The sequence below is a fragment of the Homo sapiens genome, chromosome 16 (assembly GCF_000001405.40).
Source record: "Homo sapiens chromosome 16, GRCh38.p14 Primary Assembly".
Lineage (NCBI taxonomy): Eukaryota > Metazoa > Chordata > Mammalia > Primates > Hominidae > Homo > Homo sapiens.
Window position 1 is genome coordinate 81,227,312 of NC_000016.10, and position 12,954 is coordinate 81,240,265.

The 12,954-nt window shown below is 46.0% G+C and overlaps 1 protein-coding gene across 6 annotated transcripts in view; it reads left to right on the plus strand.

Annotated features, from left to right (window-relative positions):
- Positions 11,378-12,954, plus strand: part of BCO1 (beta-carotene oxygenase 1) — a 52,454-nt gene continuing 50,877 nt past the window's right edge. For all 6 annotated transcript variants that reach the window (NM_017429.3, XM_017023287.3, XM_017023286.3 and 3 more), the window contains exon 1: positions 11,378-11,661. In NM_017429.3, coding sequence (NP_059125.2) covers positions 11,598-11,661 — 64 coding nt within the window. In that variant the 5' untranslated portion in view covers positions 11,378-11,597. The remainder of the gene's footprint in view (positions 11,662-12,954) is intronic.

A 12,954-nucleotide genomic window follows, 5' to 3' on the forward strand; every position in this document is an offset into this window, starting at 1 on the left:
TCGCCCAGGCTGGAGTGAAGTGGCGAGATCTCGGCTCACTGAAAGCTCCTCCTCCTGGGTTCACGCCATTCTCCTGCCTCAGCCTCCCGAGTTGCTGGGAACTACAGGTGCCCGCCACCACACCTCGCTAATTTTTTGTAGTTTTAGTAGAGACAGGGTTTCACCGTGTTAGCCAGGATGGTCTTGATCTTCTGACCTCATGATCCACCTGCCTCGGCCTCCCAAAGTGCTGGGATTACAGGCATGAGCCACTGCGCCCGGCCAGCCCCAGCGAATTTTTTTTTTTTTAAGTTTTTATAGAGATGGGGGTCTTGGTATATTGCCCAGGCTAATCTTGAACTCCTGGGCTCAAGCAATCCTCTTGCCTCAGCCTCACAGAATGCTGGGATTAAAGCCATGAGTCACTGCACCCAGCCTTGATAGTTATTTTTTAAATTGAATTTTTGTCAAGCATCCTTGATTGAACCCTAATTACATAGATGGTGGAAATTTGGTTTTCCAGCTCAGGCATCAGGATAACTTATTTTTTATGCATTTATTTATCAGCAATGCCTTCTGTATTTCAATCTTATCAATTCTTCCTTCTACGCATGGGATATTAGTGCTATATAAATTATAGCACTTATAATTGTTCCTTGCCTTCTTATCTTCCTTGTTAGACTTTGAACTCATTTAGGTCAGGAGATAACGATTCTCCAGTTTTCTGTCTCCAATACTCCACATGACACTAGTCTTAACTGCTCTGTAGAATGTTGTAGAATTAATGAATCTTCTTAAATATTGATGGCATAATTTATGGTCTTTTGTTCAGTAGCAAAGGTTTTTTGTTTTGTTTTGTTTGTTTGTTTGTTTGTTTGTTTTGAGATGGAGTTTTGCTCCTGTCGCCCAGGCTGGAGTGCAATGGCAAGATCTTGGCTCACTGCAACCTCTGCCTCCTGGGTTCAAGCAATTATCCTGCCTCAGCCTCCCAAGTAGCTGGGATTACAGGGGCCCGCCACCATGCCCAGCTAATTTTTGTATTTTTAGTAGCTACAGGGTTTCACCATGTTCTCCAGGCTGGTCTTGAACTCCTGACCTCAGGTGATCTGCCTGTCTCGCCCTCCCAAAGTGCTGGGATTACAGGCGTGAGCCACTGCCCCCAGTGAAGTTTTTCCTCCAGAAGCCCCAAGGACGCTGTCTGGTTACCCGTGCTGTTCTCCCTTTGCGGGGACAGCAGGTGCCACCTTTGAGGGGACTTCGGCTGTCACTATGGACTCTGCTATCTAAGATTTCAAAGATCTCTTTGTTATCTGGTCAACTTATCGCTCTGGCTAATTAGAGGCACCATTTAGAAGCAAACTTAATTGGAAAATTGCAAAGTAATTTAAATATGATAATATTATCTCCAAAAGGTTAATATTAACTAATCTTAGCTAATCATTTTGTAATCAGAGATATAGAATTACAAAATAAGGCTGTTGTGTTTTTAATAGCATGAAAACTTTTTGAACTCGCTTTTATTTCTTAACCTCATGACTGTTCTATAGGCTCCACCCGTCCTGTGGGACAAGTGGCCTCAGGGAAGGAGCGACACCTCTTCCCTGCCCCTTCCCAAAATCATTCAAGGAAAAGGATCCCATGGTCAAATCTCCCACCTCCATCACATATTGTATGATCTCTGACCTTACCAAGTTTCTGCTGCTTTGTCCATAAGATGGGGATAATAATAGTTCCTGCCAAACAGTGCCTGTGCAAGGATTAGAAGATTCGATGGGTGCAAAATGCAGAGAAGGGGGCACACTCTATGTGAACTCCCTTCCTTCTCCAGCCCCGAAGTTCACGTTTTTGCTCTCCGCAAAAGGAGGAGGTGAAGGCATTCTACTTCCTCTGAGAGTATCTTAGAGCCTCCCAAGGGCTGAGTGTGTGTGATTCTACTCCCAGCCTTCCACCCTCCCAGTGCAAACCCAATTCTGCTATCTCTGGATTGCTACAGAAGCAGCACTGTCAACTTGTGCAAACATGTGTGCCTTGTGAGGAATCCAGGAGATCTCCAACCCGACACCAATGCCAGGAGGGGCCTGGTAAAGGCCTTCATGCAATGCAGACCTCCTTGCTCTGTGTTTCTTCCCAAGGCCTGTGTGCAATGCAGACTTTCTCCCTCTATGCTCTAATTTTCTTCCTGGTTTCCTCTCAGCAACTCGCACCTCCACTCCCACAATCTGTTGGAAATTTTCCTGTTCCCTCCGTTCCTCTCTCTTTTGCTCACCTTTCTTGCTTTTCTCCCGCCACAGCCCTACACAACGCACACCTCTCCCTCCCACAATCCAGAGCAATTTGTGTAGCGGCCACCCCATGTAATATATTGAATCTGGGCACAAGCAGGTCCTGCTAGTAGGAACGCTCTTCTTGTCTTCTCCACATGGCCAATGCCTAGCAATCCTTCAGGTCTTGGAGCAAACATTAGTCTTTCTGTGATGTCCGCTCTCCACTGCGCTCCTCCAGCCTTGTACGATGTCCCATACCTTCCTCTGTTGCCAAGCATGCTGTGTTCTATATTTATGGAACCGATGAATGAATGGATACATGGACTAATTTACATTTTTACCATTGTCAGCCACGGACTTCCCTGACATTGCACCCTCTCAACTGGCTTTCCATCCAGCCATAACTGCCTTGGCCTCCCTTGGTCGCCTATAAATGCCATCTTAGCAGTTCTGCTAACTCAGCACTGTCAATAGAACTTTCTGTGATCATGGAAATGTTCTGTGACTGTACTGTCCAGTATAACAGCCACCAACCACACAGGGCCACAGAGCCCTTGAAATGTGGCTACTGTGAATGAGGAGCTCACTTTTTCATTTAACTTCGTTGCAATTAACGTATATTTAAATGTAAATAGCCGAGTGTGCTTAGCGGCTACTGTGTTGAACAGCACAGCTAAGCTGTCACATGAATAGCTTCACTGAACATCTTCTCCTAGGATGCTATTGCCTGCAGTATAAAGGCCATATTCTTATAAAAGCTGCACAGTGCAATCCTTAATCCACTTACCAGCCCCAGGTAGTGGAGATGAACATGGCTGCAAGTACAGATTCTAGAGCCAAGCCCAGCTCTGGGATACTGAGCAAGTTTCTTAGCTTCTCTGTGCCTCACTTTCCTTATCTTTAAAATGGGGCAAAACCACCTAAACTCAGGATTATTGTGAGGAGGACATGGACTCGTATGTGTAAAAGGGTTAGAAGAGGGTCTGGCATATATAAAGCTCTCAATAAATGGCCAATAGTCCTCCTGCCTGGAGAGTTCACCCCCTCCTCCTTCCCCATCCAAATACTTCCCACTCTCAAGGGCTCAGCTGTGCACCCCCTCCTCCAGGAAGCCTTCTTTCCTAATCCTCCACAGCATCACCAAGCTTTCCTTCCTCAGAACCCCTATGATAGTTCCTATCTGTGCCTCTTGTAGAGCAGCTATTCTAGGCAACTAATTATTACTTACTGTGTATGTATATGGCTTCACAGCCAGGCTAAAAGAGACTTAAATCCCAACGTTCCTGTGTATTGGTGTCTATTTTTCAACTGCATGCAAGTAACTCAAAATTAGTATGTTTGATTATTATATTGGCTGGCCGTTTCAGTTTTTCTGTCTTTCCCAAGAAAAGAAAGGGGGAAAGAATGCTCTGAGTGCCTACTGTATTTTAAGCACTGTGACATACACAGTTTTACACTGTTTAATTTAAACTTTGTAGCCAGTCAATGAGGCAGATGTTATAATTTCCATTTCAGAGATCAGGAAACTGAGGGTCTGAGACTTAAGTACGTGGTTCAGACATTTAGTTTGTAAGCGGAAGAACTGAAACACAAATGCAAATGAGTCTGTCGGGGTAGCTAGTTTCCAAAGATGGCCCCAAAGGGACCATATAGCCCAGACCCTATAGTCACAACCTTGAATGGTCCCTCCTCACGGAATTTTTGCTGGCCCTGTGATTGGTTCTAACCAATAGAAGGCAGTGGAAGCTAAACTATCTCAATTCTGGTGTAGCCTTAAAAGGTATTGGCAACTTCTGCTTCCTCTCTCTCGTGTCACTCACCTTTGGGAGACATTTGATGCTATGTATTATAAGAAGTTTGGCTACTGTGCTGGTAAGATCTCACAGAGAGAAAGCGAGGCCAAGGCCCAGCCCCTCTAACATCCTAGTCATCCTAGTCAATTCCAGCAACCATGTAAGGAAAGCTGAGCAATGAAAGCAGAAGAACTGCCCAGCTGAGCCCACGCAACCTGCAGAACTTAGAAAGCGTATGGATGATTGTTGTTTTAAGCCACTACATTTTGGAGTGGGATGTTACACAGCAATAAATAACCAAAACTCTTACATAAGATGTGCCATTTCTCTCTACATTGCCATTGCCCCTGTTCTCTTATGCACTGGCCAGTTTTCAGTCCCGTTTTAAGGCAGTGAATGCATTATACAAATTGTCTGTGAAACACTCACCTTTGCTCTCCTAGCTCTTCCCCAGCCAGCAGCTCTGAAAGGTGGGAAGCATTACAGTTTTGTGGGGAAGAACATGTACTGATCGGCTGTTGACCTACCTCAAGTTACTCCACATCGCTGAGACTATAAAATTAAGATTGCTACTGACATCCTTGCAAGGATGTGGAGGGATTAAAAGAAAGACTGCTGCTAGAACACTTAGCCCAGTAACCAGCACGTGCAAGCATTCAGATCAGAGGCTGGAGGAGAGCAGGCCAGGAGACAGCTTCTACTGGAACCAACCCCTCATCCCATTCTCCCCACATTAGTGAAAACAACAGAACACAGGGGTCAGGCCTCCATGGGTTCAGAGCAATGCCAGAGCTTTTGAGGGGAAGAGCAGCTGCTGCTTCATGTCGATGGGTTTTCAACATGAAGGCAGTTCTGCAAACCACTGTGAGACACCTTCCCCTTTGGGAAATATATGTCCAGCCTCAGCCTCCAAACAAAAAGAACATCATGAGGGCCAAAAAAGGCAGAGACTGGGTGTCATTAATCACCTCTATTCCCTCAGAGTTTGGCGTGTAGTAGGTGTCAGGTCCAAAAAGGCACAGATTTGTTTTGTTCACTGCTACATTTCCAGCACATAGTAGGTGCTCAATCAATATGTGTTGAATGGGCCAGGGTCGGTGGCTCATGCCTGTAATCTCAACACTTTGGGAGGCCAAGGCAGGTGGATCGCTTGAGCTCAGGAGTTTGGGACCACTTGCCCAATTGCCTGGGCAATATGGCAAAACACCATTTCCACAAAATACAAAAAAATTAGCCTAGAGTGGTGGCACAGGCCTATTGTCCCAGCTATTCAAGAGGCTGAGGTGGGAGGATCACTTGAACATAGGAGGTTGAGGCTGCAGTGAGCTGAGACTGCACCATTGCACTCCAGCCTGGGTGACAGAGTGAGACCCTGTCTCAAAAAAAAAAAAAAAAGGTGTTGAATGCACTGCCTGCAGCGGACACTGTCAGTTGCCTATCCTAGGCCATTCCCTCCTTTTTCCTTGATAATGGAATTCTGACAAGATCCAGGTGGCAATGATGCCACTCCAGGGGTGACTGGGAGGAAATTAAATTAAAGTTTGTCTGAGGAAATTAAAGCGCTCCTGTTCCTCTTTGTTGAGGATTGGTTAGGGGTGGTCATGTGACACAGTTCTATTCAGCCAATGAGGCACAAGAGAAAATCTGCTCAGAGGATTCTGGGAAAGATTTCCCTCCAGCATAAAATGAGAGGTCTACAAAGAAAACTCCTCTTCTGTCCCTGCCTTATCTTCCTGCTTTTCCACATCTCTATGTGAGGCCATGATTTCCCAGGCAACGGCAATCATTCATAACCAGAACTGAACAAGCCAACAGTGAGAAGACAACCTTCTGAGGCTAGAAGTGTGGAAGCCCTTGCTAGGCGAGCTTCCGCGTCAACCAGCATGCCACCTCTCGATGGCTTGATGTCTGCAATAAATGCACATCTTTGGAGTTTCAGCAGATGTTCTGCTACCTGCAGCAAAAGTGTCTTCCCTTACACATTGTGACTTAATGATATTGTTACGGGCTGAATTGTGTTCTGTAAAATTCATACGTTGAAGCCCTAACACCCCATACGGCAGAATGTGACTGTATTTGGAGATAGGGTCGTTAAAAAGGTGATTAAATTAAAATGAGTCCATTAGGTTGGCCCCTGATCCAATATAATTGGTCTCATTACAAGAAGAGGAAATTTGATTGGGCACAGCAGCTTGTGCCTGCAGTCCTAGCTACTCAGGAGGCTGAGGCAGGAGGATGGCTTGAGCCCAGGTGTTTGAGACTGTAGTGAGCTATGATTGCACCACTGCACTCCAGTCTGGGCAACAGAGTGAGACCATGTCTCTTAAATAAATAAATAAAATTTAAAAATGAAAGAAGAGGAAATTCAGACACACCAAGAGACACCAAGGATGTGCGCACAGAGAAAGATGATATGAAGACACAGCAAGAAATCACACCTGCTACCTTCATCTCCCAAACAACCTGATACCTTGTTTTTTTTGTTTGTTTGTTTGTTTGGTTTTTTGTTTGTTTGGTTTCGCTTTTTTGAGACGGAGTCTTACTCTGTTGCCCAGGCTGGAGTGCAGGGGTGCAATCATAGCTCACTGCAGTGTCAAACACACCTGGCTGGAGTGGTGGGATCTCAGCTCACTGCAACCTCTGCCTTGCCACTTCAAGCAATTCTCCTGCCTCAGCCTCCCCAGTAGCTGAGATTACTGGCATGTGCCACGATGCCTGGCTAATTTTGTATGTTTAGTAAAGACGGGGTTTCACGATGTTGGCCAGGCTGGTCTTGAACTCCTGACCTGGGGCAATCCGCTCATCGAGGCCTCCCAAAGTGCTGGGATTACAGGCATGAGCCACCATGCCCAGCCAAAACCTGATACCTTGATCTCAGACTCCTAGCCCCTAGAACTGTGAGAAAAAAAAATTCTGTTGTTTAAGCCACCCAGTCTGTGGCATTTGCTATGGCAGCCCTAGCAAACTTACACAGATATCTATTGTTAGGCTTAATTTATTACCACCATTAGTTTTTTTTGTGGGGGTATTTTTGTATGTGGTGTGTGTTTGTTTGTTTTGAGATAGGGTCTCTGTCGTCCAGGCTGAAGTGAAGTGGTGCAAACATGGCTCACTGCAGCCTCAAACTCCCTGAGCTCAGGCGATCCTCCCACTTCAGCCTCCCAAGTAGCTGGGACCACAGGTGTTTGCCACCACCACCACTGCCAGCTAATTTTTCTATTTTTCATAGAGGCAAGGTCTCGCTGTGTTGCCCAGGCTGGTCTCAGACTTCTGACCTCAAGTGTTCCATCAGCCTCAGCCTCATCCTCCCAAAGTGCTGGGATTACAGGTGTGAGCCACCGTGCCCGGACTCCATTTGTATTTTCAAAAACCTTTATCTTACTATCTAACTGTCCCTTGGGTGCAGTTGGAACCTGGATAAGAGAGCTTGCCCTTTCTCTGATATAAGAATGCAGTGACACCAACCCAAGACCCAAGACTGGTCCTCTCAGGGCCCATCCACCCATTACTTCATTCAGTAAAAATCCAGCAGACACCCATCGTGCGTTGGAGCTGTGTAGAATTGTCAGAGTAAGTACTTTGAAGTCGGGCTGCCTGGCTGTGCCTCCTAATTTGAGCTGCTCCTCACTTTGAGACCGAGGGCAAGCAAGTTATCTTCCCTGTACTCTCTGACCTTGAGAATGGTGGTAGGAACACACATCTCATAGGACTGTGTAAGGCCAGGGTGAGCCAGTGCAGGTAAACTGCTCAGTTGCTTTTCTGAATATGCAAAGATTGACAAGAAGGGAGATCACAGTCATGTTTTGACTCATATATATATATATATATATATATATATATATATATATATATAAATATATATATATATATATATATAAATTATTATTTTTTTTTTGAGACAGATTCTTGCTCTGTTGCCCAGGCTGGAGTGCAGTGGTAGAATCTCAGCTCACTGCAACCTTCACCTGCCAGGTTCAAGCAATTCTCCTGCCTCAGCCTCCCAAGAAGCTGGGATTACAGGTGCACACCACTATACCAGGCTAATTTTTGTATTTTTAGTAGAGACGGGGTTTTACCATATTTGCCAGGCTGGTCTCGAACTCCTGACCTCAAGTGATCTGCCCGCCTCGGCCTCCCAAAGTGCTGGGATTACAGGCTTGAGCCACCGCACCTGGCATGTCTTCACTCATATGGTTTTGTTGTAACCCTTCCAACAAGCCCTGTGACACAGATACTGCCACCCCCATTTTGCCGAGTGAAGTGAGGTTCAGAGAAGTCACGTGACAAAAGCTGCAGGGTTGCTGAATCTCAGAGCTGAGGTCCAAACCCAGGTCTTCTGACCTCTAAGCCCTGAGCTCTTTCTTGCACCGTGGTGGTGTCGTTTTTTTCCCAGAGCCCTTAGAGTATGCCAGACATTCCCATGTAATCCTCACAAGAACGCAGCTTCCACAAGCTAGGAATAAAGAACTCTGACATGGATACACGTGTTTAGACCACACAGCGGGATAAACTGGCAAGTTATTGGAGGTCTTACTGGAAAGGTGGTTCATAGGGAAATGCCCTCTAAGAGAATGGGAGGAAAAGGTAAAGGCATTGTTTGGTAACTGTCTGAGACCAGGTGCTTTTGCTAGACCCTATACAATAGGCTTGAGGTGCTAATATCGTTATGCCTCACTTTATAGTTGAAAAAAAGGAGGCTCAAAGAGGGTAGAATGGCCCAGACACACAGAAAATGGACGAGCTGGCCAGGCGCGATGGCTCACGCCTCTAACCCCAGCACTTTGGGAGGCCAAGGCGGGTGGATCACTTGAGGTCAGGGGTTTCAGAGCAGCCCGGCCAATATGGTGAAACCCCATCTCTACTAAAAATACAAAAATTAGCTGGGGATGGTGGCAGGCACCTGTAATCCCAGCTGCTTGGGAGGATAAGGCAGAAGAATCGCTTGAACCCGGAAGGCAGAGACTGCAGTGAGCCAAGATCACGCCACTGCACTCCAGCCTGGGTGACAGAACGAGACTCCATCTCAAAAAATATAAAAGGATGAGCTGCAATTTTTTTTTTTCTGAGTTGGAGTCTCACTCTGTCACCCACGCTGGAGTACAGTGGCACCATCTTGGCTCACTGCAACCTCCACCTCCTGGTTTCAAGTGATTCTCCTGCCTCAGCCTCTTGAGTAGCTGGGATTACAGGTGCCCATCACCATGCCCAGCTAATTTTTGTATTGTATTTTTAGTAGAAACGAGGTTTCACCATGTTGGCCAGGTAGGTCTTGAACTCCTGACCTCAGGTGATCTGCCTGCCTTGGCCTCCCAAAGTGATGGGATTATAAGCATGAGCCACCATGCCTAGCCAATCAGCTATAATTTAAATTTAGTTTCAACTCAGGCATGTAGCATCTTTCCTCTGGGTCAGGTCTTCTCAACTCCTGCTGCACACATGTAGGTACTTTTTATTATTTTTTTAATTATTATTATTATTTTGAGACGGAGTCTTGCTCTGTCGCCCAGGCTAGAGTGCAGTGGCGCGATCTCGGCTCACTGCAAGCTCTGCCTCCTGGGTTCACGCCATTCTCCTGCCTCAGGCTCCCGAGTAGCTGGGACTACAGGCACCTGCCACCACGCCCGGCTAATTTTTTGTATTTTTAGTAGAGACGGGGTTTCACGGTGTTAGCCAGGATGGTCTTGATCTCCTGACCTCGTGATCCGCCCGCCTCTGCCTCCGTATGTTTTATTTTTGAGATAAGGGCTTGCTTTGTTGCCCAGGCTGGAGTCCAGTGCTGCTATCACAGTTCACTGCAGCCTCAACCTCCCAGACTCAAGTGATCCTCCCACCTCAGCCTCCCAAGTAGTTGGGACTACAGGCACGCACCACCATGCCCAGCTAATTTTTTTTGGTAGAGACGGAGCCTCAATATGTTGCCTAGGCTGGTCTTAATTCCTGGGCTCAAGTGATCCTCCCGCCTTGGCCTCCGAAAGTGCTAGGATTACAGGTGTGAGCCACTACACCCGGCCAACATAAAAAAAAAAAACTGATGGCTGAGATCCACCTTCAGAGATTCTGCGTCAGTGGGTCTGGAGTGAGGCCCAGCACTGATACATTTAGTACTGCCAATCAGGTGATTCCAATGTGTGCCAGGGCGGAAGCACAGCCAGACCACACAGCTGTCAGGAATGAACGGCCCAAGGTGCTGGCATGTGCTCTCAGCCCAGACCGGACCATCATTATTCTCAGCTGGGTTGCATAAAGGCCAGTGCCACTGCCTTTTCTTACTCTACCCACAGAGCAAATGACTGGTTCTTTCTTTAAGCAAAATACGTTAAGATGAGTTCATTAACTTCAATCAGTGCATATAGCAAGTTGAATACGAATTTCAGGCAATGGCAACACACGAAGATACACGAATAATAGGGAAGCTCAGATCAAATTCAGGCATTGTTTTGCCCTCTTGATAGGCCAGGAAGTTGAAGTTTCTTTTTAACTATTCTGTTTACTTATTTATTTTTTGAGACAGAGTCTCACTCTGTGGCCGAGGCTGGAGTGCAGTGGTGCCATCTCAGCTTACTGCAATGTCTGCCTCACAGGTTCAAGCGATTTTCCTGCCTCAGCCTCCTTAGCATCTGGGATTGCAGGCGTCTTCCACCACGCCTGGATAATTTTTGTATTTTTAGTAGAGACAGGATTTCGCCGTGTTGGCCAGGCTGGTCTCGAACTCCTGACCTCAAGTGACCCGCCAACCATGGCCTCCCAAAGTTCTGGGATTACAGGCATGAGCCACCACTCCTGGCCCGTCTTTTTTACTATTCTTTATAGTTTCTGAGAAAAGCCTTTGGTTCCCGTTCGTTATTTTTTAAATAGGTACATGAAACATTTTATGTCTCCTTCTTCCAAAAAGAAAATAATGAATTAAGTGGCTCTTTATGTATGATTATTAGAGGGGAGCATCGGGGCCTTTACTAAAAACAAAACAAAATGTAAAACCTTTCCCGTCTCTGCTGAAGGGGTTCCCTGCTGTGCAGCAGACATTCAGTGATCACAGAGCTTAGCTCAAGTTTCTCCTAATTCCCAGCACCTCTGATTCCCAGCATCTCTTCTTGTTCTGATCATAAACAACTCCAGCTCTTGGATTACGTCGGGCAACATAACAGCAGGCACGGAATTCTCTCTGCTTATTTAGAACCTAGTCTGAAGCAAGCTTTTTTTTTTTTTTGGTTAAGTCAAAAGTGAAACTGGAGAGGGAAAGCTGAGGGAACAATAAGAGGATTAAAGATTAGCTATGACACATGGCTTGGAAATTAACCTTTAACCAAACATCTTATAAGTAACGCCAGCGCAGCTTCCCTTGTGAATGTAAAGAGATCCAGGGCTCTTGGAGAGGGACAAGTGAGAGCCAGCCAAAAAGGAAAAAGCAAAGGCAGAAACGGCATCAGGAGAGACAGAGATGTGAAGGAGGGAAGGAGCAGGAGAGCAGGAAGGAAACGCAGGAGGAGGGAGCAGCATCTCCTGTGAACACAGAGGAGCACCTGTTTGCTGTTAAAATCGATCTCCCTCGGCACCCTGAGCAATGGATATAATATTTGGCAGGAATAGGAAAGAACAGCTGGAGCCTGTGAGGGCCAAAGTGACAGGTGAGCATTCTGATAAACACTGGGCTCTTTCTTCTATTTATTTTATTATTTTTTTTTTTTTTGAGGCGGAGTCTCGCTCTGTCGCCCGGGCTGGAGTCCAGTGGCTTGATCTCGGCCCACTGCAACCTCTGCCTCCTGGGTTCAAACGATCCTCCCACCACAGCCTCCCGAGTAGCTGAGATTACAGGCACCCACCACCAAGCCCGGCTAATCTGTGTGTTTTTAGTAGAGACGGGGTTTCAGCATGTTGGCCAGGCTGGTCTCGAACTCCTAGCCTCAAGTGATCCACCCACCTCGGCCTCCGAAAGTGCTAGGATTACAGGGGTGAGCCACTGCACCTGGCTTCTTCCTTGTGTTTAGATGGACACTATTTTTTCCTGATGATATAAGTAATACTAATTGTAAATTACTTTTGGAAAGTCTGGAAAACAGTACAGAGAGGGGACACATTTTCTGTGAAAATCTAGGTATTCTTTTACACATTATAACTCCGTTTGCAAAGGGAGGAGAGTCAGTCTCACTGTTCCCAGGAAAAAAGCATTGGAATGCCCCAGTGGGTACATAGACAATGGGATTAATCTGCAAACTGCTGCCTGTCTCAGATGCATGATGTATTTGTGCAAATGTATGCATTCTAAATTAGTTTCAAAATGCTTAGAGGGGCGTGCATGAGCTCCCACGCATGCACATCCACCACGCACACTTGCAGGGGATTGCAGAGTCTGATGTGATTTTCTCTCAGGAACTCACAGGTGTGAGCTCCTGCAGAGCCTATAGGAGTAGGACCTTCTATCCTTTAGAGGCTCTGTGTTTCGCTTAATCTTTTATATCTCTTTTTCCTCCTCTTTTGAGTTGCCACTTTCCTGGTACCATTTCGACTCTAAAGGGCAGTTCCTGGTTCTGGACTCCCGGGTCCCCAGAGTGGTGCTCGCTCAGTTTTAAGAACAGCTGAGTCAGCTCAGGCCTGCAGGCATTTTCATCTGCTAGATGGACTGGAATTGTTCATAAGGAGAGGACAACTGTGAGTGATTTTCGTGAGAACATCAGATTGAAGCTTTTCAACTGAGCAATTGCCTTGGGAGTCTTTTGAAACAAAAAAAAAATAGCTTTTATGTATATATTTTCCTGGTTACAAAGGTAAGGCACAATCTATAGCTATCAATCTGTATATATATATAGCTGTATGTATATTAAATTATATATAAATTAATTAGGAGTGCAAATGAGAACATGGAAGGAAATAAAATCAGCTGTATTTTGAAATCTCTTAACCACTATTAATATTTGGGTCTA